Raw genomic sequence first — 25,079 nt, forward strand, 5'->3', positions numbered from 1 at the left:
TGCCGCTTCTGTGTTGGGTGCCCTCGTCCAGGCCTCGGGTTCACCCCATCCAGAAAGTAAACCCGTCCTTCCGCTGGGAGAGACGGGGCGAGGGGACAGCGGTGGACAGGAGCGATCTGTCACATTCATTTTAAAAATCGCCTCCGGAAGCTTTCACGGGCTCTTCCTTCCCTCTCTGATTATTTCTCTGAGTCTGAAATGATGACAATTGTATTTATATTTATGTCATCGAGAATTAAGTGAGCTATTTTTATTTTCCTGACAGCTTTCTGTTTGGCCGGGCAGGTGGTAGGATTTGTGGCCTAGGGAGGGGATGGGAATGAAGGCACATGACATGCCCCAAGTCACTCGGGCTCAGCACTGGTGGAGCGGTGGCCAGTTCCAGCTCGCTGTGTAGAGACGGCTCTGTGGTCTGAGGCTGAGCCAGGCAGTGTCATCTCCAACCAAGTCACCAGTTTGGCCCAACTTCCAGGAGCCATCAGCTTCTGGGTGGACCTGGGAAAAACCCAGGGCTGGAGTAGACCCTCAGTGTGGGAGCTTTTGGGCAAGAATTCTCCCCAAAAACAGCTTGCCTGAGATCGACTGCACATACCTTACAACTAACCCTTTCCATTGTTCCAGTCCGTGGTTTTCAGCGCATTCGCAGAGTTGCGCGGCCACCAAGTCAACTTCGGAACATTTTCCTGACTCTAGAAAGAACCCCCTAGCTCTTAGTCATTCTCCGTCCCCCCTGCCTGTCCCACCCGTCACTCCAGCCCTAGGCAACCACTAAGCTCCTTTCTAAGTCGGGCAAGAATGTTCTGGAGAGATGTCCTCCACAGATGGGCACTTGCTCGTACAGGAACCTTTCCGCCGGGCTGGTGGACGGAGATTTCTACTCTGTGGACACACTTAACCTTAGCGGAATCTCCGCCGGTCAAGACCGGCAGTGTGTGTGGCTGGGTTTAAACCACCGTGCAGCACCTTCACGATGCAAAACGTGCTCGTTCAGACTCCAGCTAGAGCCCTGCACCTCCATCAAGATATTACAGGGAGAGATGTAACTGGCAAACTCCCTGAGCATGCTGGGGAAACATCTATTTAAAAATCAAGCCAGGTGCAGCGGCTCACACCTGTAATCCCAGCACTTTGAGAGGCTGATGCGGGTGGATCACTTGAGGTCAGGAGTTCAAGACCAGCCTGGCCAACATGACCCCGTCTCTACTAAAAATACAAAACTTAGCTGGGCTCTGTGGCGCGTGCCTGTAATCCCAGCTACTCAGGAGGCTGAGGCAGGAGAATCCCTTGAACCTGGGAGGCGGAGGTTGCAGTGAGCCGAGATCGCACCACTGCACTCCAGCCTGAGTGACAGAGCGAGACTCTGTTTCAAAAAATAAATAAAATCAAGTAGCATGCTTCATAGCATTTTCTCCTCCTCCTAGTAATGAGGCCACCTGCCTCAGGACAATCACTGTTACGGCAGATACTGTGAAAATATTTATTGTTAAACTTTAATTGGAAAGCTACTATTACAGTAGGAAATTGTCATCTATAGATGGCATTAGATCCCTAGATCCCTGCCTGTCCTATAAAACATCGTTTTGTTTTAGTGAAAACTCAATACATATGTACATATCATCTAGAATCAGTTTTGTTTTTTTTTTTTTTTTAAGACAGAGTTTTGCTCTGTTGCCCAGGCTGGAGTGCAGTGGTGCGTTCTCAGCTCACTGACATGGCCGCCTCCTGGGTTCAAGCAATTCTCCTGCCTCAGCCTCCCGAGTAGCTGGGATTACATGTGTGTGCCACCATGCCTGGTTCATTTTTTGTATTTTTAGTAGAGAGGGGGGTTTTGCCTTTTGGCCAGGCTGGTCTCGAACTCCTGACCTCAGGTGATCCGCCCACGTTGGCCACTCAGAGTGCTCGGATTACAAGCCTGAGCCTCCGTGCCCAGCCCATAATCAGGTTTTGAACTGGAAAGCACCTTTGAGATGGTGTCTTCTATTCCAACCATTCTGTTTTATTAGCAAAGATCACAGAAGCGCAGAGAGGTTAGGGTGAGTGGTTCTAAACCAATTTTCTCTTTTGGTGGCGTTCACCTTTGTCTCAAATCCGCACACCTTACGGCTCTCATTCCTGCCACAATTTGCTCTTTGAAAGGGAGAAGTCAAGCCTGGGAAGGCCTTTCCACCCCACTGGAGTTGGGGAGTGATTTAGCCCAAGGTCAGATGGGCTCTGGCTAGTACCTGGCTTTCAGGTGCCAGTCCAGAGGGGGACCATGCTCCTCTTCTGTGCGTGTGTGTGCATGTGCGTGTGCAAATGTCTTACGAAAAAACACCTCTTCATGTCTTAATATCCAAACCCCGATCTCCAGGATCCCCTTCTTCTTGTGACCTCAGTCATGGGCCAGAAGCCACATCTTCTTTCTACTTGGCCTTGATGGCTGCAGCGTGATCCGATCCCATATTAACATAGGGACTTTCACGACACAGAAAGTCAGAGGTCTCAACTGTGCCCTTCTGACAAATAGGAGAACATGGTCTGTTTCGTTGATTTGCAGTGGTTGAGGGAACTGGAGAAAAGAGACAAATGGCAAGGGCCATAGAAGCTATCTTTAAACATTTGTCATCATGACTGCCATCGTGTCCAGCACTGGTGGAACGGGTAGGTGTGTGTGCATGCGTGTGTGTGCGTGCACGTGTGCATGTGTGTGTGTGCGTGGGTGTGGGCGTGTGCGTGGGTGTGTGGGCGTGTCCGTGCATGCATGTGTGCATTCATGCACGTGTGTGCGTGCCTGTGTGTGTGTGTGTGTGTGTGCATGCATGTGTTGATACAGACATGGACACTGTGTTCATTCAGCACCGTCGTTCACAGCTGGAGTTCACCTTAGGTCCCCTGCCTGGACCCTCAGCCAGATGCTGGCCCCAAACCTCTTTCCTTGCTTCCCTAGGTCAGGGACACCAGTCCCATCCTCAGACACCAGCTTGGGTGGATGTCGGCTCTGGGACCCACAAAAGCTAACAGCCCCCAGGACTGAAGAGCCCTTGGGTATCATAGAGCATCTTAGAAAATGGGTGATGCAAGGCCGGGTGTGGTGGCTCACGCCTGTAATCCCAGCATTTTAGGAGGCCAGGGCAGGAGGATCACCTGAGGTCGGGAGTTCCAGACCAGCCTGACCAACATGGAAAAACCCTGTCTCTACTAAAAATACAAAATTAGCTGGGCGTGGTGGCGCATGCCTGTAGTCCCAGCTACTCGGGAGGCTGAGGCAGGAGAATCACTTGAATCCAGGAGGCTGAGGTTGCGGTGAGCCAAGATTGCGCCATTGCACTCCACCCTGGGCAATAAGAGCCAAACTCTGCCTCAAAAAGAGAAAAAAAAAAAAAAAGGGTGATGTGGCCAGTCACGGTGGCTCATGCCTATAATCCCAGCACTTTGGGAAGCCGAGGTGGTTGGGTCACCTGAGGTCAGGAGTTTGAGACCAGCCTGGCCAACATGGTGAAACCCCATCTCTACTAAAAATACAAAAATTAGCCAGGCGTGGTGGTGCGTGCCTGTAATCCCAGCTACTTGGGAGGCTGAGGCAGCAGAATCGCTTGAACCCAGGAGGTGGAGGTTGCAGTGAGCCAAGATTGCGCCATTGTATTCCAGCCCGGATGACAGAGCAAGACTCCGTCTCAAAAAAAAAAAAAAGAAAAAAGAAAATGGGTGATGGAGCTTTCTAGTCAAAATACTGATGCAGGAAATCTCCACTGGGCTGGACTGAAGAAAGTGTAAAGGACATCAGACGTTCCTCTCAATGTGACTTAAGAGGACAGAATTGTGGAGTATTTTCAAATAGCCTTGGGATGCCCTTCTAAACCTCAGGGGTGACCGACCACCCACCCTTATCCCCCAAGATTCACTCGCTGGGCCGTGCCTCCCAGACAGCTTCTCATCTTGGAAACAGTCTCAGAGTCCCTTTTGTGTTTGGAAGTAGAAACCTGGTGCCCACAGGCCTGACAGCGCCTGGCACTGAACGATGCGGCCCAGCCTCCTCTGACCAGTATCTCGGGGAGAATCAGGACTGGCCCAGTTGAGCCAGCTTAAGTGCCTGATTTTCTCTCTTCCATGTGGGCAGCCTGGCTAGCAGACCTATGGGAGGAGCCGCACATTTGTAATGCTGAGTCACTTCCTTTGAAGCGGGTCCCTGGGAAGAAGACGCAAGAGGACCCCCTGCCGACAGCCAGGCACCCTTCGTCACCCTCTGACCTGCTCCTCAGTCCCGTCTTTCAAAAACGCTTTGACGAAGAGCAAAGGGACTTTCATATGAAAGAGGGGTGTCTGCGCACGTCCATGCAGGATTTTACGTAGATTGACTATTTAAACATTGCTGCAGATTTAAAAACACAGTCAGGCATAGACCCAGCAGCCTGGTGCTTCATGCAGGTTCCACTACAAGAGACCTTAGCGTCTCTCAAGTGTTGAGTACTTTGCCCGTCCTGAATGCCTTCGGGAACTCTGAAAAGCGCATTATCACCGGTGGCTTATGTACATTCTTTCTTAACCCCCTCCTACAATTTTAAACAAGAGCCTTTTCCAAACAGCTGCGCAGGCGGCCAGCGTTCCTTATCTCTGTGTGGGCAGGCTGCTGCTTTACATTGTTTTTGTTTTTGTTTTTGTTTTGTTTTGTTTTTAACTGAGTCCCACAGTTAGCAACTTGATAGTTGCTGCCTCATCAGTTTAGAAATTGAAAGGTGACCTGGATAAGTAATGCTCAGCTTTGTAAAAGGTGGCAGTTTCTTCAAGCCAGATGAACCCTGGATACTGTTCACAGCACACTGGTGTTGACCCTGACGCTTGCGGCTGGCTTTGTTTGCACTTGGTCGTCTCCAGTAGAAAAACCGAGGCTCACGGTTTTAAGCCCAGAACTGATCGTGAAGCCGGTCCATTAAGCTCTGGGTGGATAATGCACGCTCTCTGCGACTCCCGCCTGCCGGAGCAGGGGTGGAATTGCTCCTTCCGTTGTCAGATCTTCTAGGCAGTGGCAGGGAATCATCTTGAAAATGTCTGCATAGGTGGTTGCCGTGCTATTTCAGTCTTCCAGTGTGTCATTTGAGAGGTGGCAGATCCCACCTGGGTGCCACAGCAGTTGCCCTGGCAGACAGGAAGTAGCCGTGTCTGTCTGGAGCCTGCGTGGGAGATGGCATCAGCGGCACTTGTCTGGGGATATTTATATCTCTTCTGTTCTCACACACAGTAGAAAGACAACTGACGGCTGGGCACAATGGCTCTCGCCTGTAATCCCAGCAGTTTGGGAGGCTGAGGCAGGTGGATCACCTGAGGTCAGGAGTTCGAGACCAGCCTGGCCAACGTGGTGAAACCCCGTCTCTACTAAAAATGCAAAAAATTGGCCAGGCGCGGTGGCTCACGCCTGTAATCCCAGCACTTTGGGAGGTCAAGGCAGGCGGATTACGAGGTCAGGAGATCGAGACCATCCTGGCTAACACAGTGAAACCCCGTCTCTACTAAAAATATAAAAAATTAGCCGGGCGTGGTGGCGGGCGCCTGTAGTCCCAGCTACTCGGGAGGCTGAGGCAGGAGAATGGTGTGAACCCAGGAGGCGGAGCTTGCAGTGAGCTGAGATCGTGTCCCTGCACTCCAGCCTGGGCGACAGAGTGAGACTCCCTCTCAAAAAAAAAAAATAAATAAAAAATGCAAAAAATTAGCCGGGCGTGGTGGTGGGCGCTCGTAATCCCAGCTACTCAGGAGGCTGAGACAGGAGAATTGCTTGAACCCAGGAGGCTGAGGTTGCGGTGAGCTGAGATCCTGCCATTGCACTCCAGCCTGGGTGACAGCGAGACTCCCTCTCAAAAAATAAAATAAAATAAAATAAAGAAATAGAAAGACAAGTGACTTCCAAATAAGCCAAAGTCTCAGTTCCTAAGTGTCCTGATAAAAGCATCGAAACTGCTCTCTGGGGCCCAGGTTTGAGAGTTACGGTCCAGTTACTTAGACACACAGACACGCACCTTCCCTGGGTGTTGGCGTCTTCTTGAGTCTCCTCCTGCACCTCACACCCGCTCCTCCTCCTGTTGCAGGTGTACCTTCCGGTTTCCCAGCACGGCCATCAAGATCCAGTTCACGTCGCTCTATCACAAAGAAGAGGCCCCAGCCTCCCCGCTGCGGCCACTGTACCCCCAGATCTCCCCTCTGAAGATCCACATCCCGGAGCCGGACCTCCGGAGCATGGTCAGCCCCGTCCCCTCCCCGACGGGCACCATCAGGTGAGTAGCCCCCCAGCCTGCCCTTGGGCCCCCAGGAGAGAGGGGGATGATGCGAGCGTGCCTGTCGTACGCAGCACCGGGTTCCAAATCTCTCTGGAAAGTTGCACGTGCATGGAAATACAGAAAGTGTTGTACGTCCATCCGGGACCTGGCTGAAATTTCCGTGAATTCTCTTACAAAGGGAAAAATCACTGCCTGATCATCACTTTTCCCACTGGAAATTTTACATATTAGAGCTTGTTAAAGCAAGCACAGGTTTTTTTGTTGTTTTTTGTTTTTTTTTAAAGGGCGTTGAAAATGTTTTTTTTTTGTTTGTTTGTTTTGAGATGGAGTTTCGCTCTGTCACCCAGGCTAGAGAGCAGTGGCGCGATCTCGGCTCACTGCAACCTCCACCTCCCGGGTTCAAGGGATTCTCTTGCCTCAGCCTCCCGAGTAGCTGGGATGACAGGCGCCTGCTACCACGCCTGGCTAAATTTTTTGTATTTTTAGTAGAGACGGGGTTTCACGATGTTGGCCATGCTGGTCTCGAACTCCCAACCTCAAATGATCCACCCGCCTTGGCCTCCCAAAGTGCTGGGATTACAGGCGTGAGCCACCGCGCACGGCTGAAAATGTTTTAAAGTAATATTTGTCCACCAGGATTTGGTGAACTTTGTTTCTTTAAGCTTCATTTGTGAAAATTCTCTATGACCTTTTAGAAATTAATCTAGATTTTGAAGAAAGTCCTCAAACTTCCTCATCTCTGGCATGTTATACAATGATGAGCCCCTGAGTAGGGGTTGCAGGTGAAAAGTATAAACAGAGCTCTGTGTAGGGAGTGCCGGTGAGCCCTAGACTGAGTCACACACGAACCTCAGGCGACAGCCTGGATGCATGGCACACAGCCCTGGCCCTGGTCCTGTCATACAGGGATGCAAAAACAGACGTGTACTTGAGGCTGGAGGGTTCATACATTCTTTAATGATTTACCTCTTCATTGCGGACATTTCTAAACGTGGCTGGCTTTTCTCTCCCAACCGCACGTCTGTGGCTCTGCAGATGCGTGGCTGCGCGTGGTTTGGTGCCGGAGCTGTGGCTCCTCCGCAGCACCAGCAGTTTCTGCGTCGCTCGCGCGTCACCAGCAAAGGTCACCCCAGTGGAAAAAGCAGATCACATCTTAGGGCTGTTGTGAACATGGTGTTGACCTCACATATACCCTGAAAGGGGCTCAGGGCCCTCGGGGACATCTGTGAAGCACGCTCTGGGCATGCTGATCTGTTGGAGCGAGCGCTGTGGCAATCCCAGGCTGGTCACGTCAGTCCCTCCCTGCTGATCTGCGCACTCTGCTGAACCCCGGCCGCACCTTGGCTTGCTTTTTTCTTTTTTTCCTCTTGCAGCTGTAGGAGAAGAAAGGGCTTTTGTTTGTATTTCAGAGACAGCGTCTCACTCTGTCGTCCAGGCTAGAGTGCAGTGGCGCAATCATAGCTCGCTGCAGCCTCCAACTCCTGGGCTCAAGCGGTCTCCCCACCTCAGCCTCCCAAGTTGCTGGGACCACAGGCATGCACCACCACACCCACTTAATTTTCTTATCTTTTGTAGAGACAGGGTCTTGCTATGTTGCCCAGGCTGGTCTGAAACCCCTGGGCTCAAGAGATCCTCCCTCCTCCACCTCCCAAAGTGCTGAGGTTACAGGTGTGAGCCAACACACCCAGCCCGTACATGGCCTGCACCTTTTCAGGGTCCACAGTTAGAACTACACACTGGCTTCTCTTGGAACACAGCCATCAGGGGCACAGCTCCTCTACCCTGCTTTGCCGACAAGTTACCAGTGACCTACAAGTTACAAGGTGGGAATCATCTCCATTTGAGTTGCTTGGAGTAGGTCTCCTTTTTTCCAGAGCCAGTGGGTGGGAGTGTCTCTCGTGGAGAGAGAAGTTCAGGGACAGTGCTGCTGCGGAAAGGAGAGGCCCCGGGCTCAGGCCGGGCATGGTCACCTGTGTGACTCTGTGCGGTCACTTCAGCCCCCCACCTTCCCGGGCCCGGTTCCCGTCTGAGTCAGTGCTGTGACGTCATGACCCTCTGGGATGATGATGATGGTGAATCCTAAGTGACTGAGAGCCTGGTGTGTGCCCGCCTGGCCCTGTGCTGAGCAGTGCACATGCAGTATTTTATGTAGTCCATACAGCTTTGAGAATGTTCCAGAAGTAGATAGTGGTGATGGTTATTCAATTTTGTGAATATCCTAAAAGTCACTTTAAAGAGTGAACTGGCCGGGCGCGGTGGCTCACACTGGTAATGCCAGCACTGTGGGAGGCCAAGGCGGGTGGATCACTTGAAGCCAGTTCGAGATCAGCCTGGGCAACATGGTGAAACCCCGTCTCTACTAAAAATACAAAAATCAGCCAGGCATGGTGCCATATGTCTGTAATCCCAGCTACTCGGGAGGCTGAGGCAGGAGACTGGCTTGAACCCAGGAGGTGAAGGTTGCAGTGAGCTGAGATCACGCGACTGCACTCCAGCCCGGGCGATAGAGCGAGACTCCATTTCTCAGTAAATAAATAAATGGTGAATTTTATGTTATGGGAATTGCATCTGAAGAAAGCAGTTGAGCGCAGTATATGTACTTAAGTCTTCACCTAGTACCACCTTAAAGGCGCTGTAGAAATGGTGGCCAAGACCAGCTCACGTGCTAGTGGAAGCTCACACCAGAAGAGGCTGGTCCTGCTGCTTTTGGGGCGGGTAGCAAAGGCCTCAGGTCCAGAGAGAAGCAGGCCAGGCAGCGATCCGGGGCTCCTGAGGAAGGGCTAGGCCAGCGCCCCCGCCTTAGCCTGGGAGTGGGTTATTAATCAGCAGGTTGTAATCCAGCTAAACAGAAGCTTTTTTTTTTTTTTTGAGACGGAGTCTTGCTCTGTCGCCCAGGCTGGAGTGCAGTGGCGTGATCTTGGCTCAGTGCAAGCTCCACCTCCCTGGTTCAAGCAATTCCCCTGTCTCAGCCTTGAGAGTAGGTGGGAATACAGGCACATGCCACCACGCCCGGCTAATTTTTGTGTGTTTTTAGTAGAGATGGGGTTTCACCGTATTGAAAGAAAGAAAAATGTTTTGGTTTGCTCCGGGAGGGGGCTTAAAAAAATAAAACTATTTCCCAGTGTTAATCCAAATTTGCATAGTAAAGTCGCTTTTATTACAAGAGAGGTTGTGGTTTGCGAAGGAGTTAAGTGATACCTGTGTTTTAAATTACGGCAGGGAAAATACTGTTTATTTTTATTTTATCTTAGCTTCAGGGGGTACACGTGCATATTTGTGACATGGGTATATTACTGGTGGGGATTGCGCTTCTGGGGTTCCCGTTACCTAAAGGGTGAACCGCGTACCCCGTAGGTCATCTTTCACCCCTCGCCCTCTCCCGCCTCCCTGCTTAGGAGTCCCAGTTTCTCATTGTTTCGATCTTCCTGTTCCCGGGTACCCACTGTTCAGCCACTGCTTGTAAGCAAGAGCAGGCGCTGTGCGGTATTGTTTCTGAGTTGGTTCACTTGGGATAAGCGCCTCCAGCTCCATCGCGTTGCTGCCCAGGTCAAGATTTCATTCTTTTTTATAGCTGGGAGTAAAGAAATTGTGTACTGAGCACCTGAAGCTCTTGCAGCTGGAGCTGTTCTGAGAAGCTGGGTGGCGGCCTCCTGTGACTGCGAGTCCCCGTCAGGGGGTGCGAGCAGCTCCCTGGGCCTGCACCTGCCCTGCTCTTGCTGCGGGAGCCAGGAAGGTGGGGGGCCACCCCTTTCCCCTCCTTCCGCCCAGTCCTGTTCTTTGAAACCGCCCTGTGCAAAGACCGGATTCTTGTTGGGGAGAATTCTGTGCGGAGAAAGTAGTAAGTTAGGGACTGGCTGTCTGGCTTTTTGGCCTTCCATTGTTACAATAAAAGCCTCTCTGTTTACATCCGTTTATCTTAGCACCCTGGAATTCAATTGAGTGTTTAGAAACCTCAGAGGCCCTTGAGGTTTTCCCTGCCAAGATACTTTTCAGTTTGAGTTTCTGCTGTAGGGTGGAGCCGGCGTGTTTACAAACACTCCCTGCCCTTCCCTGCCACCTCCCCACTCTCCTCCTCTCTGGCTGCGCTCCCTAACAGATCGGGAGGTGGGAGCGGGGCCAGGCCAGAAGAGCTGGCTGCCTGCAAGGCTGTCCCCTCCCAGTGCCGCCCCGCCCCCGCGGTGCCTGCCTTCCTAATTTGGTGTGCATTCGCCTCGCCAGTCCTCATTGGCCGTGGAGTGGCTGGCTCGGTGTAGGCCGGGCTCGCCCAGGGCCCCTCATTCCCAGGAGTCGGGAGTGGCTTGGGAGCGGCTTTTTCCTGGGGGAGCCTCCCTGATCAGCTGCCCCTGCCCCCGCCCCCCGCGCCACCCTGCGTCCTTCCTTTCCGTTTCTCGCAGGCCCTCGCTCCTTTTCCCAGGGTGGGTGGGTATGGGTGTGGGTGTGTGGTTTTGTGTGTGTGTGTGTGTTTCTGATTTATTTTTTTCTGCCCTGAAGTACTCCACCCAGAAAATGAATGAACTCTCTTTGAAATAAATTCTGCTATCTTTAGCAGAAGTTTGACCTTTTCTTTCCTTTTTGCAAAGAAGGATTTTTACAGGCCAGGCGCCCGGTGGCTCAGGCCTGTAATCCCAGCACTTTGGGAGGCTGAGGCAGGCGGATCACCTGAGGTCAGGAGTTCGAGACCAGCCTGGTCAACATTGTGAAACCCCATCTCTACTGAAAATACAAAAATGAGCCAGGTGTGTAATCCAAGCTACTTGGGAGGCTGAGGCAGGAGAATTGCTTGAACCTAGGAGGCAGAGGTTGCAGTGAACCAAGATTGCACCACTCCAGACTGGGCGGCAGAGCGAGACTCCATCTCAAAAAAAAAAGTGTTTTTAGGAAGGAATTAAAGTATTTAATGAAAGAATTCAAGTAGTTAATCATTTTCTAGGTTCCATCAGACAGACACCAGTCTAAAAAGTGTTCCTTAGAGGTAGAGTTTTAAGAAAACTGCTGAAATTCAGTGAAAGGACATTGCACAGAGTGACTGTTTTTGCTCATGAGGGCAAGACTTCAAGAGCTGTTTCTCTTAAGGCTCTTCCTGATTTCTCCAACGTGGAGATCAAAAATGAAAGTAACTCGTACAATTCGGCGAAGGTCAGCAGTATGTAAATATACAGTAAAAATGCAGCAACTGACTTCAAAATCTTTCCCTTTTAATCATGATTTTTAAACAGTTCTGTCTTATTGCTAGATAACATTCAGTCCTAACTTGGTTTATGTTGTTTTGTAAAGTTAGAGGTCTTTTGAGTTTGGAGGTTATTGGATCTACGTTAGAAATACTCTCCTTTTTCTGACAACTTTGGTAGCTTCCTGCAGGGTGATTCATCTCTTTCAAAGTTTCTGGTTGGCTGGGTGTGGTGACGCACTTTGGGAAGCTGAGGCAGGAGGATTGCTTGAGGCCAGGAGTTCCAGACAAGCCTGGGCAGCATAGTGAGACCCCCATCTCTAAAAAAAAAAATTTTTTTGCTAATTAGCCAGGTGCAGTGGCTCATGTCTTTAGACCCAGCTACTCGGGAGGCTGAGGCAGGAGGATCGCTTGAGCCCAGCAGTTGGAGGCTGTGGCGAGCTATGATGTCACCACTGCACTCCAACCTGGGCAACAGAGCAAGACCCTGTCTCAAAAAATTAATAATTAAAAAACACAAGTTTGTGGCTGCAGCCTTCCGTGTGTTTTCAGCAGGGCTGCAGGAGGATTGTGGTGCGAATGTGTGAATCACCCCTAGCGGGAATCCTGCCTGGCTGATCTGGGCTGGCTGTGCCAGCATTTGCAAATCCAGTGAGGGTCCCTCTTCCCTTGTCTGCCTGTCCCTGTCCCTGTAGGCCTTGCTGCCCCTCCCCACCCCACCACACCCTCTTATGTCTTTTCCCAGCTGAGAACTCTGGGGAAGTAACTATTGTTTCCTCCACATGGGAAGGTTGGGACTTTCTGTCTTCCTTTTATTTTTCCCTCCTGCCTAGATCCCTTCGAGGGGCAACTTTGGCGCTAAAGTGTTGGGAGTTCGGAATGAAGCTTGGTAGGGAAGTCCTTGTGTTTGTCCGAATCTGTTGAAAGGACATCCCCACGCCCGCGTTTCCTGTAATCTCGGAGGGTCCTAGCGCCCGACTTCTCAGGTCAGCCTCGGGTGACAAGCGGCTTGTGTGGAGTAGGCCTGTTGCATGGCTTCTGTGCGGGCATGTTACGCACGAGGACAGCCCTTTCCGGGTTCCATGAGCCTCAGGGGAAGCAGGAGGCGCCTGCAGACACGGAGCTGACCCCGGAACCTGCCTAGCTGCGGGGCCGCCTCTCCGCTCAAGCACCCACTCAGCTCTGTGAGGTCTATGCCTAACATGAGAGCAGCTCCTGTTGAAGCCACCATGCTGGTTATTCTCACCAGGGCAAAGTGCACTTCAGAAACAAGTTAATTTTATTTTCTAAATTATTATTTTTAATGCTGGTTCCAATTTGGGTTTGGGGGGTTGATTTTGTTTTTGTTTGTTTGTTTTTTGGGACAGGGTCTCACTCTATTGCCCAGGCTGGAGTGCAGTGGCACAGTCACAGCTCACTGCAACCTCAACCTCCCGGGCTCAAGCGATCCTCCCACTGCAGCCTCCTGAGTAGCTAGGACTACAGGCACCCACCACCACACACACCCAGCTCATTTTTTATTTTCGTTGAGATGGTGTCTTGCCCAGGCTGGTCCTGAACTCCTGGCCTCAAGCAGTCTTCCCACCTTGACCTCCCAAAGTGCCAAGATTACAAGCCTGGGCCTGTTTTTGTTGTGGTTGTTGTTGCCTTTGTTGTTTTTGTTTTGTTTTGAAGCAGGGTCTTGTTCTGACACCCAGGCCGGAGTGCAGTGGTCCGGTCACGGCTCGCTGCAGCCTCGACCTCCGGGACTCAAGCGATCCTCCCACCTCAGCCGTGACTACAGGAGCAATCCACTAGTTAATTTTTAAAAATAGCTTCCCAGCATTTTACAATGTCGGATTTATCTTAAAGGAACACATTCTTTAAGATCATTCTAAGAAATTCGCCTCTGAAAATTTTCTTTCCCTATTTGTTTATTTTTCCTTTTTCAGATTACGAAGAGACTATCTATCTATCTATATGCATCTTACAAAATGCAAACATTTCAGAAAGTGAAAATTCCCCCACACAACGCTCCCCAGAGCTGAGCCCTTCTCTCTCACTTCTGTGTCTCTGAGTCGTATTCGTACGTGACTGTCTCTTGGTTTTTCCGTTTTAGATATTACACATGAGGTTCCTATATGGAAATTAAGGATTTAGCTTCCCCCCTCCCCATCCCAGTAAAGTTACATCATCATGTCTGGTTTACCTTGCATGAGCGTTTTCTGTATTAGAACTGTGTAGTGATTGTAGCGCTTAGCCATTTCCTTCCTTGTACTTTTGGCTTATTTCCGCCACACTCCCCCCGCTCTTGGGGTTAATAATGGCCTCTTCTCCCTTTACTGTGAAGGCCTTCCTCTGGGGCCCCTCTGACCATGGGATCATCTTCTCCACCATCCTGGGAATCCCCTCAGGAGGTGGTGGTGGAGAGAGGGCTGTTTCCTGATTCCCACGTCTTCCTCTTTCCTGATTTGTTCCTTTGTTTTACCAGAGTCCATCCCCCAGTCGCTTCCTGGGAAAGGGCACAGGAGACAGACTTTTCATTTATTCACTGATTTAAGAGACAAGGTCTCACTTTGTTGCCCAGGCTGGTACTTCTGGGCTCAAGCGAGCCTCCTGCCTCAGCCTCCCGAGTAGTAGGGACTACAGGTGTGCACCACCATGCCCGGCTAATTTTTGTATTTTTTGTAGAGGTGGGGTCTCCCCATGTTGCCCAGGCTGGTCTTGAACTCCTGTGCTCAAGTTATCTGCCCACCTCAGCCTCCCAAAGCGCTGGGATTACAGGTGTGAGCCACCTCGCCTGGACCCCCAGGTTCCTGTCCACGCTTCTGGGACTGGCTGTGCCTGGCGGGCCTCTGAGCTGAGTCTCTCATGCCTCTCCTTTCCTTTCTCTCTCTACTTTCTGAGGGATTTTCTCCAGTCTCTCCTTCCACCCTTTCTTGGATTTGTATTTCTCTTCTTTTGAATTCTTATTTTTTAATTTGAAGAGCGTGTTCTTGCTCTGCAGGTGTGCTTTGCATGCTGTTCTTACTGTCCTACAGAGACGGCATCGTTACCTCCCTAGGGACGGGAACCATGTTTCATCTCCTCCCAAGCTCCCGTAGGCTTCCCTGGGTCCCTCTTCTCTTCTGTTTTGCACCATGTTCCACCTGGTAGAAGCTTCCTCAAACCACAGATGTGCCTTGGCCGGCTGTTGTGTTTAACAGTGAGGTCCTAAAAACCCTCTTAGAGCGGCTGGTATTGGAGCAGGGGCTGGGGCAGGGACCCCAAGCGTCCTCCTCTGCAGGGAGGTTCCCCCAGGAGGCTTCAGGTGCCGCCTTGGGACGCAAAGGTCATCGCAGACCCCCGCAGCCTTCTCGCCCCTCCACTGCCCACAAGGCTCCGTCGCAGCTCCTTCCTCCAGCCCCTCCAGGCGGGTCCCTCTGTGTCTCTAGGGCTTCAGGAGGGATCAGGTCCCTTCTGACAGAGCACTGTCCTCCCTGGGCCTGCCGGAAGCGATAACTGTCCCGACCCTAGGCCTCTCAGGGTGGCCTTCTCAGCCTCAGAGCAGAGCCAAGGGCATTGAGGGTGGACTGGAAGGACCGCAGCCCTGTGCCCTGGGGAAGGCTTGTCTTAGGCTCTGGGGACGGAGCCCAGCTGGCGGCTCCAGAGGTGGCTTTAGGTCTGTTGTTGGATTTGCCTTTCTCAGCGTGACTTCTCATCATAACGTGACCCAGCGACCTGTGTGTCCCACAGCCCGTCCGTCCCTCTGCAGTCTCCCTGCACTGGCATGTCCTGGGTGGTCCCAGTGGCACCTTCTAGGCCCGGCCCCTGGATGCGGTGGAGGCTGCCCGGGGTGGGTCAGCATGGGGTTGTCCCTGTGAGCACAGCTCCGGGAGACCCGTACTCAGAATCCTCCAGCTCTCTCGCCTGAGGCGGAAATGTGACTTGGGAATTGTCCTCCATATAAAGGAAGCAAAATCAGGGCCTAGGGGTGAGCTGCTTACTGTGCTTCTTCCCTCTCTCAGCCTCCAATCGGGGGGCACAGGCGTTTGATTCCCGCGACGTCTGTGGGCTGTCACTGTCCAGCCTCTGCGTCCCACACCTGGGCAGCTAGGGACTGGGGGGGGCCTGACCGAGGCCTGGGGTACTTACCCCAGAAGGAGTGATTCCCTGTTTCCTGGAATTGAGCTGGTGGTCCCTGTCAGGGAGCAGTGGGGTCCCCTCAGCTTCCTGCTCTTTCTCATTCCCGCAGGAGGAAATGTGTGCACGTGTATGCCGTCGTTTTCAGCACTTTTTTTTTTTTTTTGAGACAGAATCTCGCTCTGTCGCCCAGGCTGGAGTGCAGTGGCACGATCTCTGCTCACTGCAAGCTCCGCCTCCCAGGTTCACGCCATTCTCCTGCCTCAGCCTCCCAAGTAGCTGGGACTACAAGTGCCCGCCACCACACCCAGCTAATTTTGTTTTCTGTATTTTTTAGTAGAGACAGGATTTCACCGTGTTAGCCAGGATGGTCTCGATCTCCTAACCTCGTCATCCACCCGCCTCGGTCTCCCATCTTTTTTTTTTTGAGACAGAGTTTCACTCTTGTTGTCCAGGCTGGAGTACAATGGCATAATCTCGGCTCACTGCAACCTCTGCCTCCCGGGTTCAAGCAATTCTCCTTCCTCAGCCTCCCGAGTAGCTGGGATTACAGGCATGCACCACCACGTCTGGCTGATTTTGCATTTTCAGTAGAGACGGGATTTCTCTAAATCGGGCAGGCTGGTCTCGAACTCCTGACCTTAGGTGATCTGCCCACCTCGGCCCCCTCAAAGTGCTGGGATTACAGGCGTGAGCCACCGTGCCTGGCCTTCAGCACTTTTTTTTTTTTTTTTTTTTGAGATGGAGTCTTGCTCTGTCGCCCAGGCTGGAGTGCAGTGGCGCAATCTCGACTCACTGCAAACTCCACCTCCCAGGTTCATGCCATTCTCCTGCCTCAGCCTCCAGAGTAGCTGGTACTACAGGCACCTGCCACCATGCCCGGCTAATTTTTTGTATTTTTTTTTTAGTAGAGACGGGGTTTCACTGTGTTAGCCAGGATGGTCTCGCTCTCCTGACCTCATGATCCACCCTCCTCGGGTAATCCCAAAAGCATTGGGATTACCAATCCCAAAGCACTGGGATTACAAGCGTGAGCCACCGTGCCCGGCCCAGCATTTTCTTTAGATTGCTAAGGGAATGTTTCCGTGGACTCCCAGCATCAGACATGGGATGTCTTGATTAGTTTTCCGGATGGCTCCAAGGCCTCTGGCTTTGGAGCTGGGTGTCCCATCCCACCCTGGCTGGGCGCCCTCAGACCTGTCTTCCCCCAGGGCACTTTACAGCTCTTAGCGGCTGTGAGGCTCGAGCAGCCTCTGCTTCCCGCCTCCGTCAGCTGCAGGCCTGGTATCGGGGGCCTTGGTATCAGGAGCCTGGTACCAGGCACAGCCCCGTGGCCGAGGCCCGCCTGCGGAGGACAGTTGAATGGGGCTTATTGAGAGACGGGCTGCTCCGAGGGCTGGAGGAGCCATGTGAACAAACACATGTGGTCCCTCAGCCCAGGTGGCTGGAAAACCTCAGAAGCTGCGCTGTCGTACCTGTCCCGGCTGGAGTGACACCAGGATCCGGCAGCCCAGGCCAGGTCCAGTGCTGGGGAAAGTGGCGGAGAAACCACCCTACTCTCTCGCCTGTGGGAGCCAGGCTTCGCCAACCTTTCTTATTTCCACTTGAAATCATTCTCTGGGGAATGACAACTTTTCCTGTGGGTTTTACTCCATGAGGTTTTTTGTTTGTTTTTTGAGATAAGGTCTCACTCTGTTGCCCAGGCTAGAGTGCAGTGGTGTGATCATAGCTCACTGCAGCCTCGACCTCCCAGGCTCAAGCCATCTTCCTGCCTCAGCCTCCTGAACAGCTGGAACTGCAGGTGTGCATTACCACGCCCAGCTAATTTTTAAAATGTTAAAACTTTGTTTATTTATGTATTTATTTATTTATTTTTAGAGACAGGGTCTTGCTCCGCCAGAGTGCAGTGGCACAATTATAGCTCACTGTAGCCTCAAACTCCTAGGCTCAAGCAGTCCTCCTGCCTCAGCCTCCTGAGTAGCTGAGACTACAGGTGCACACCACCACACCTGTCTAATGTTAATATTTTTGTAGAGATGGGGGTGTCACTATGTTGCCCAGGCTAGTTTCGACCATGTGGGCTCAAGCGATCCTCCTGCCTGGGCCTCCCAAATTGCTGGGCTTACAGGCATGAGCCACCGCACCCGGCAGACATGAATTTTCTATGATCTTCTGCAAAATAACTGCTGGGAACAGGAGCAGGTCCCTGCCACACGTGCTGGGCCATCACTGTTTGTTGTGGAGTGCTGGGGGGTGCCCCTCATTGGTCCTCAGGAAGGATCCAGGAGCCCGCCTGCCACCTCATGGGCCTCGGATGAGATTTTCCGAGCTGAGTGGCCATTCCCCAGCCTGTGGCCGGAGATCAGAGTGTATGTGAGTGACACCTCGGCTCAGTGGTCCCCAGCAAGGACTGACATTTCAGTTCTTCCTGCTGAGTCCAAGGGGGACGTCCAGTGGCTTTGGGTCTGGGACCGGGTGCACAGGCGTGTGCTGGCCCCATTGTCTGCAGCCCCTCCGGCCATGAGGCCATCCTGCCTCAGCAGGGAGGTGTTTGGTTCCCAGAGGCCTTTGACAAAGCCGATTTTGGGGGCTGTGTGCTGTTACCAGTCAAAACCTTTCTCTCCCCTTCTCATCTTACTTGTAAACTTGGGTTTTGTATTTTGGATTCAGAACTAAATTCAGAAAAGGTTTCCTTTTGACTGTTTCCTACCTCGATCGAGCCATTTGTGGGTGTTCATTTAAGTTTCGACACGTGTGGAACTTACCTATCTCTGCCATATTTGGGGAGTCCGTTGTAAGAGAGAATGGGAATTCCAGATCAGAGTCCTTAACGTTCCATGTGGGTGACACTGAGTCCTTCCTGAAAATGCCCCAGACCTGAACTGATCATTAATGTCAGCTGTCAGGTTTTTCTCAGCCACAGGATTTTTTTCATTCATTCCTCTGCTCCATCCAAAAAATGTTTCTTGAGCCCCGCCTGCACCCAAGGGGGCTCCTACTTAACCTAAGTTTTGGAGATCTAGGAGTCTTGTGCCTGGACAGTTAGGGAAGGATGTTCCTGGCAGAGGAAAGGGCAGCAAGGCGGGAGGAGGAGAATGGACCTTCTGGATGGTTCTGGATGGTTCTGGGTGGTTCTGGATGGTTCTGGGTGGCCTGCAGGGCAGTGCAGCAGGGAGCATCCTACCCGCCACGGGGGCTCTAAGTCAGCTGAGAGGGGGGATGTCAGCATCACAGGTGGGCAGGGTCCATCTCAGGACGGGGCTAGGTGGGTGCCCGTGAGCTCAGGACAGTGGGATCTCTTTCTCTCGGGAGGTTCTGCACCCACTCTTCGTGTCTTCATTGGCTTTCTCTGAATACCTGTAATAGAAATCATTTTCAGAAGCAAAACATCGCCGTGGTTTGCTGACGGAAGCCTGCCTTAGTGAGTTAGGGAAGCAGGCCAGAGCACACCCCTCAGCCGGACGGACGCAGCCTCCTGCCTGTGGTCCCGGCCTCAACCCAGAGCCTCACCTGCAGCCGGGGGTGTCGGTCACTCCCAGCCATCTGTGGTTGCTCCAGCCTGGGAGGGAGAGGGGATGAGGGCAGGGGCATCTCAGCGGCTCAGGGCAAAACTGCAGGGGTCATCTCTTCCCGAGGGCGGTGTCTCCAGGAGAGCCACCTGCCACGCCTTCACCCTGCAGGGCGATGGCACCTCCACAGCCTCTTTCCAGGATCTGCCTCTGTGACCACACGGGGTTGTCCTGGGCCCGAGCCTTTTCCCACAGCGCCGCCTTGTGGACACCTGTGCAGGAGCCAGCAGCCCGCGGAGGCTACCTGCTCCGGGTGCACATCCTGTAGGGGTGTGTGTGGGGGGACCTGAGGAGGGGCCCCACAGAGCTGCCTGACCAGGTGCTGCCCTGGGCCCTGCATAATGGCAGGAGGAGGGCCCGCGGTGCTCTCAGCCCCCGAGCAGAAGTCACCACTGGAAGGAAACTTGCCTGCCGTTTCCAGCATCTTGTCCCCGCCGCTGCGTGACCTTGGCCGGGCAGTGTGGTGGCACTTAAAATTGGAAAGTGTGAGCTTCTTCCCCACAGCCCCACCCTCTGGGTAGGTCCTGAAGCCCTGAGCCCCACAGGGGCCCCCTCTTCAGAGCCATGAACTTACAGTGTCCTTCTCTCTCCTCAGTGTCCCCAACTCCTGCCCAGCCAGTCCACGCGGTGCCGGCTCCTCCAGTTACCGCTTTGTGCAGAACGTGACCTCGGACCTGCAGCTGGCAGCAGAGTTTGCAGCAAAGGCCGCGTCGGAGCAGCAGGCAGACACGTCTGGAGGAGACAGCCCCAAGGTCTGAGCCCACCTGGCGCCGTGGTGCACCTGGTGACCCAGGATCGGGCCATAGTGACCCGGCGCGGGCGGCACAGACAGCCCAGGGCCTGCGGGCGTGTGCTCGAGGTGGTCTCAGCCCACAGGGAATGGAGCCGCAGCTGGCGGTAGAGCCGTCGGCCCTTTCTCGTTTTCGTGCCCAAATCATCCCCGTTGGTCATTTGCTGGTGACAGGGGTGGCGCCGTCACCGAGGGCCCCTCCCGCCACGCTCCTTGTTCATCTGCCGCTGGCAGCCCGGCGTCAAAGCCTTCATACAGCCCTTGAGCAGGATGGCGTTCTCCTTATAACTTTGTCTTAGTTCATTTTTGTCCAATAGCTGTTTTCAAATTGATTTCTGGAAGAGGTGAGAAATTTCAGAATTAAATTATAATAAAACCGAAGTTTTCCTTCCCATGAGGCAAAAATGGTTGTTCCTAGTTGAATGCAAGCACATTAATGGGATAGTTGGAGGGCACTGGGACGGGTGCCGGCAAGACGCGCACATTCTCGTGGGAAGGTTCCTCCCCATCAGCTGTGACGGGTGGGTGGGGTAGACTCAGGGACCTTGCTGGAGCTCATCCCGTGAGCCGTGTTTCTCCGCAGGATGAGTCAAAGCCGCCGTTCTCCTACGCGCAGCTGATCGTGCAGGCCATCTCCTCCGCCCAGGACCGGCAGCTGACCCTGAGCGGGATCTACGCCCACATCACCAAGCATTACCCCTACTACCGGACGGCCGACAAAGGCTGGCAGGTGAAGCCGAGTCCCCAGGGCCGGATCGCCTCTGAAGGCCCTTAGAACATGGAACTCACAGGCATATTGCTTCCCTTAAAACAGAAGAGGGCCAGTGAGGGGGCTCACGCCTGGAACCCTAGCATTTTGTGAGGCCGAGGCAGGAGGAGGATCAAGACCAGCCTGTGCAACATAGAGAGAACCTCTTTTCTACTAAAAATTAGCTGAGTGTGGTGGTGCACACCTGTGGTCGCAGCTACTCGGAGGCTGAGGTGGGAGGATCACTTGAGCCCAGGAGGTGGAGGCTGCAGTGAGCTATGATCACACCACTGCACTCCAGCCTGGGAGACAGAGAAAGACCCTGTGTCTACAAAGAAAAAAAATATCTTTTTAACTAAGAAGATAAATATAAAAGAGGGATGTTTTCACGAATGGCATATGGTACATCTGAAAGGCATTAGCGCTGTGATACCATTGTGTCTAAATACTCTTTTTTATTAGTTTCCTTCTTCTGAGCCCCAGAACTGAGAAGATGGATCTACACCTTGTTAGATTTTTGTGCTTGCTGTGCCTCACAATCCCACGTTAAGTTGGAAAAATGTACCATATACTGTTATTCAAACAATCCACATGTCTGAATTGTGGATGGCATTTTAAGAGCTTTGTCCACACCAGCCATGACTGATGCATGTTGCATTTGCCTGTATTTTCTCCAATGTCAGTGTAGCGCATCCACTAGCTTTGGTTTTTTGTTTGTTTGTTTGTTTTTTGAGACAGGATCTCGCTCTGCCATCCCGGCTGGAGTGTGGTGGCGCGATCTCAGCTCACTGCAACCTTCGCCTCCCAGGTTCAAGCGATTCTTCTGCTTCAGCCTCCCAAGTAGCTGGGGCTACAGGTGCCCACCACCACACCTGGCTATTTTTTGTATTTTTAGTAGAGATGGGGTTTCACCATGTTGCCCAGGCTGGTCTCAAACTCCTGACCTCAGGTAATCCTGCCAGCCTCGGCTTCCCAAAGTGCTGGGATTACAGGCGTGAGCCACTGTGCCCGGCCAAGACCCAGTGTTTTCTTTCTCCCAGATGTGCTCCTAGACCAGGATCTGTCTTTCTGTTTCACTTTTTCTGTAAAGAATGGTAATGGCAGCCAGGCACAGTAGCTCATGCCTGTAATCCCAGCACTTTGGGAGGCCGAGGTGGAAGGATTGGTTAAGCCCAAGAGTGTGAGACCCCATCTCAACTAAAAATACAAAAAAATCAACCCAGCATGGTGGCCCACGCCCATAGTCCCAGCTAGTCAGGAGGCTGAGGCAGGAGAATCCCTTGAACCCGGGAGGCGGAACTTGCAGTGAGCCGAGATCGTGCCACTGCACTCCATCCTGGGCGACAGAATGAGACTCCGTCAAAAAAAAAAAAAAGGTAAAATGGTAATTATGCGGTGTCAAATTTTGATAGGAATGACCTGCCCTGTGCCTCGGTGCTGCTCCCGTGAGGCCCAGCCAGCACAGCACCAAGGGCTCTGCACAGAGGGACGGCCTCCCCTCACCCTGGTCCCGCATCTGCTGCAGATTTGAGGTGGGTGGGACTCATTTTCTGATTTGCTGGTGATGGGTGAATATCTCTGCTTCCCTGCAGAATTCTATCCGGCACAACCTCTCTTTGAACCGTTACTTTATCAAAGTCCCACGTTCCCAGGAGGAGCCTGGGAAGGGGTCCTTTTGGCGAATAGACCCTGCCTCTGAAGCCAAGCTCGTGGAACAGGCATTCCGGAAACGGAGGCAGAGGGGTGTCTCCTGCTTCCGCACCCCCTTCGGGCCTCTGTCCTCAAGGTAAAGTTCTCTGAGCGCCCGTCCTCCAGCTGTTAGGAAAGCTGAGCTGCCCTGGAGTTTAGAGATACGTGGCGCAGTCAGCCCTCCGGATCTGTGGGCTCAGGCTCAGTGTACGGGCATGCAACTGATCACAGGTCAAAAATATTCCAAAAAAAAGAAGGCCGGCGCGGTGGCTCACGCCTGTAATCCCAGCACTCTGGGAGGCCGAGGCAAGTGGATCACCTGAGGTCAGGGGTTTGAGACCAGCCTAGCCAACATGGTGAAACCCCTGCCTCTACTAAAAAAATTCAAAATTAGTCGGGCATGGTGGCAGGTGCCTGTAATTCCAGCTACTGGGGAGGCTGAGGTAGGAGAATCGCTTGAATCTCGGAGGCAGAAGTTGCAGTGAGCCGAGATTGTATGTACCACTGCACTGCAGCCTGGGCGACAAGAGCAAAACTCCGTCTCAAAAAAAAAAAAAAAAAAAAAAAAAAAAAAGTAATACAAATGAAACAATACACACTACAACAGCTGTTTACATAGCAGGTACATTTGTTAGGGATTATAAGTAACCTGGCGATGATTTAAAGCTTACAGGAGGATGTGCACAGGTTGTATGCAAATGCGACACCATTTCTATGAGGAACTTGGGTAAGCATCTGCAGATTTGGTACCCACAACCCCCGCCCCTCAAGTACCGAGGGGTGACTGCTGGTTTCGGCACTTAAAGACTGCACCATTTTCTGTTTTTGTTTTGAGAGAATATCTCAGGACCAAGAACTCCTAAAATAGTAAGGTTACTAAGTAAGCCACTGACTGTTGTATTAAAAATAAGATTTTAGTTCTTAGAAGTGGAAATGTGTGTAGCAATAGGAACGGTTCCTAAGGCCAAGAATAAATGGATTGCGGTTGTGGGTCTTTTGGTAGCACTAAGCTTTCTGTTGCAGTGTGTGAGAGGACCCGGGGAGAGCCCAATCTTCGAAGGGACAGATGAGGGGTATGACCTGGGGAGCCCACAACCGCCTTTGCTTTTCGCAGATGCTGGGAACGCAGCTCTGCTGCCGGCGGGGTGGACAGACCCTCCCCCAGCCATTGCTGCCCACCTGCTGCGTCAGGGCCTCCCCTGCCCAGCTCAGTCTTGGCCAAGCCCAGTCTGGAGGAGCATGCACCGCCTGTGAGCGGTCTGGGCAGCGCTTCCCAGGTTGCCCATCAGATGAGCCCGTCCCAGGTGTCGAGGAGGAGATCTCCTGAGCGGCAGTCTCGGAAATCCTTCCCCGTGGAAGGACACGTTAACCTCTCGTGCTTCCCATTTCAAAATTCTGTTTCCAACACGATTTGATGAAAGATTGAAATATCTGAAAATTCATTTCGAGCACAGGGTCTGGCATTGTGATTCTCAGGTGAACTGGGCGTATGGTTGAGGTAGGACTTCAAAAAAGTGTTCGAACGTCATTTGCAGCATTTAAACTGAGCTCCAAATGACGTTCAAACACCCCTCTCGGGTAGAGTTTTCATGGTGGAACGGTTGCGCCCACCAAACAGAAGCTTATGTTTTTGGCACAGAAGGCCTGGGCCATTTTCATGGACACCTGGCTGGACCTCGGTGGAAGTGAACTCCGTAGGTTGTTGCGTTCACTGCAGCACCTCACATGATACCGTCCCCTCTCATGGAACGGAGCCTCCCCCATGCAGCCCCCACTCAAATGGAGTTTTAAAGGCTGGGTTCAGGTTACGGGGGCGTTTCTCACCGTCTGAATGCGGAGGACAGAGACGAGCTCCAGGGAGCGTGGGCGGGTGACGGCGCTGAGATGCGTGATGTCTCGGAAACGTCCTCGCATCCCTCAGCGCGGGCGCTGACTGCCGCGGCCCTTGCCTGTCTTCCAGGAGCGCTCCAGCTTCGCCCACACACCCCGGGCTGATGTCCCCTCGCTCCGGCGGCCTGCAGACCCCAGAGTGCCTGTCTCGGGAGGGCTCCCCCATTCCACACGACCCTGAGTTTGGGTCCAAGTTAGCTTCTGTCCCAGAGTACCGGTATTCCCAAAGCGCACCCGGTAAGGAGCGGGCGGCCCTCTTGCGGGGCGGGGCGGGGCGGGACTCGTGGGGGTGCGGGAGGGGTCACCGTCCGCTCTCCGCCCTCCGTGCAGGCTCCCCCGTCAGCGCCCAGCCAGTGATCATGGCCGTGCCTCCCCGACCGTCCAGCCTCGTGGCCAAGCCCGTGGCCTACATGCCCGCCTCCATCGTAACCTCACAGCAGCCCGCGGGCCACGCCATCCACGTCGTGCAGCAGGCCCCCACCGTCACCATGGTCAGGGTGGTCACCACATCTGCCAACTCGGCCAACGGATACATCCTCACCAGCCAGGGCGCGGCGGGGGGCTCCCATGATGCGGCGGGCGCAGCCGTGCTGGACCTGGGCAGCGAGGCCAGAGGTAATGCAGCCGCGGCTGGCAGCCTTCGCAGGACCCTTTGTGGTGGTCCCGGCCGGCAAGTCCCCAAGGCAGCGCCATTGGCCTGGGCCTGGGGCTTGAGGAGGATGATTCTCTGCTTCTGCCTCTCGCTGCCTTGTCCCTTTAAATCAGCATGAGCTGGGCAGGTGGCTCATGCTTATAATCCCAGTGCTTTGGGAGGCCAAAGCGGGTGGATTACTTGAGGTCCGGAGTTCGAGGTCAGCCTGGCCAACATACTGAAACCCCG

The 25,079-nt window shown here is 53.0% G+C and overlaps 1 protein-coding gene across 1 annotated transcript in view, besides 11 other annotated features; it reads left to right on the forward strand.

The window, feature by feature from the left end:
- The window catches only part of FOXK1 (forkhead box K1), an 89,148-nt gene that overhangs the window by 52,487 nt on the left and 11,582 nt on the right, over window positions 1-25,079 (forward strand). The window contains exons 2-7 of the mRNA NM_001037165.2: window positions 6,057-6,242; window positions 19,678-19,834; window positions 20,456-20,602; window positions 22,213-22,406; window positions 24,270-24,436; window positions 24,530-24,814. Coding sequence (NP_001032242.1) covers window positions 6,057-6,242; window positions 19,678-19,834; window positions 20,456-20,602; window positions 22,213-22,406; window positions 24,270-24,436; window positions 24,530-24,814 — 1,136 coding nt within the window. The remainder of the gene's footprint in view (window positions 1-6,056; window positions 6,243-19,677; window positions 19,835-20,455; window positions 20,603-22,212; window positions 22,407-24,269; window positions 24,437-24,529; window positions 24,815-25,079) is intronic.
- Window positions 2,230-2,784: an enhancer, noted in NCBI's record as "H3K4me1 hESC enhancer chr7:4776642-4777196 (GRCh37/hg19 assembly coordinates)". NCBI's record gives its function as "activates a minimal SCP1, AML or CMV promoter by ChIP-STARR-seq in naive H9 embryonic stem cells {active_cell/tissue: H9 hESC(naive)}" and the evidence as "EXISTENCE:reporter gene assay evidence [ECO:0000049][PMID:30033119]".
- Window positions 3,565-4,764: an enhancer, noted in NCBI's record as "MED14-independent group 3 enhancer chr7:4777977-4779176 (GRCh37/hg19 assembly coordinates)". NCBI's record gives its function as "activates an origin of replication core promoter dependent on BRD2, BRD4, P300/CBP and CDK7 cofactors, and independent of MED14, by STARR-seq in HCT116 cells {active_cell/tissue: HCT116}" and the evidence as "EXISTENCE:reporter gene assay evidence [ECO:0000049][PMID:35650434]".
- Window positions 5,004-5,557: an enhancer, noted in NCBI's record as "H3K27ac-H3K4me1 hESC enhancer chr7:4779416-4779969 (GRCh37/hg19 assembly coordinates)". NCBI's record gives its function as "activates a minimal SCP1, AML or CMV promoter by ChIP-STARR-seq in naive H9 embryonic stem cells {active_cell/tissue: H9 hESC(naive)}" and the evidence as "EXISTENCE:reporter gene assay evidence [ECO:0000049][PMID:30033119]".
- Window positions 5,558-6,112: an enhancer, noted in NCBI's record as "H3K4me1 hESC enhancer chr7:4779970-4780524 (GRCh37/hg19 assembly coordinates)". NCBI's record gives its function as "activates a minimal SCP1, AML or CMV promoter by ChIP-STARR-seq in naive H9 embryonic stem cells {active_cell/tissue: H9 hESC(naive)}" and the evidence as "EXISTENCE:reporter gene assay evidence [ECO:0000049][PMID:30033119]".
- Window positions 9,672-9,721: an enhancer, noted in NCBI's record as "active region_25561". NCBI's record gives its function as "activates an Ori minimal core promoter by ATAC-STARR-seq in GM12878 lymphoblastoid cells {active_cell/tissue: GM12878}" and the evidence as "EXISTENCE:reporter gene assay evidence [ECO:0000049][PMID:35858748]".
- Window positions 10,412-10,511: a silencer, noted in NCBI's record as "silent region_17900". NCBI's record gives its function as "represses an Ori minimal core promoter by ATAC-STARR-seq in GM12878 lymphoblastoid cells {active_cell/tissue: GM12878}" and the evidence as "EXISTENCE:reporter gene assay evidence [ECO:0000049][PMID:35858748]".
- Window positions 10,622-10,671: a silencer, noted in NCBI's record as "silent region_17901". NCBI's record gives its function as "represses an Ori minimal core promoter by ATAC-STARR-seq in GM12878 lymphoblastoid cells {active_cell/tissue: GM12878}" and the evidence as "EXISTENCE:reporter gene assay evidence [ECO:0000049][PMID:35858748]".
- Window positions 15,063-15,562: an enhancer, noted in NCBI's record as "H3K4me1 hESC enhancer chr7:4789475-4789974 (GRCh37/hg19 assembly coordinates)". NCBI's record gives its function as "activates a minimal SCP1, AML or CMV promoter by ChIP-STARR-seq in naive H9 embryonic stem cells {active_cell/tissue: H9 hESC(naive)}" and the evidence as "EXISTENCE:reporter gene assay evidence [ECO:0000049][PMID:30033119]".
- Window positions 18,971-19,525: an enhancer, noted in NCBI's record as "H3K4me1 hESC enhancer chr7:4793383-4793937 (GRCh37/hg19 assembly coordinates)". NCBI's record gives its function as "activates a minimal SCP1, AML or CMV promoter by ChIP-STARR-seq in naive and primed H9 embryonic stem cells {active_cell/tissue: H9 hESC(naive and primed)}" and the evidence as "EXISTENCE:reporter gene assay evidence [ECO:0000049][PMID:30033119]".
- Window positions 19,030-19,119: an enhancer, noted in NCBI's record as "active region_25562". NCBI's record gives its function as "activates an Ori minimal core promoter by ATAC-STARR-seq in GM12878 lymphoblastoid cells {active_cell/tissue: GM12878}" and the evidence as "EXISTENCE:reporter gene assay evidence [ECO:0000049][PMID:35858748]".
- Window positions 19,117-19,411: a silencer, noted in NCBI's record as "tiled region #11447; HepG2 Repressive DNase matched - State 12:CtcfO, and K562 Repressive non-DNase unmatched - State 25:Art". NCBI's record gives its function as "represses a minimal TATA promoter and a strong SV40 promoter by Sharpr-MPRA in HepG2 and K562 cells {active_cell/tissue: HepG2 | K562}" and the evidence as "EXISTENCE:reporter gene assay evidence [ECO:0000049][PMID:27701403]".

This window comes from Homo sapiens, chromosome 7 (assembly GCF_000001405.40).
Source record: "Homo sapiens chromosome 7, GRCh38.p14 Primary Assembly".
In the NCBI taxonomy this organism is placed as follows: Eukaryota; Metazoa; Chordata; class Mammalia; order Primates; family Hominidae; genus Homo; species Homo sapiens.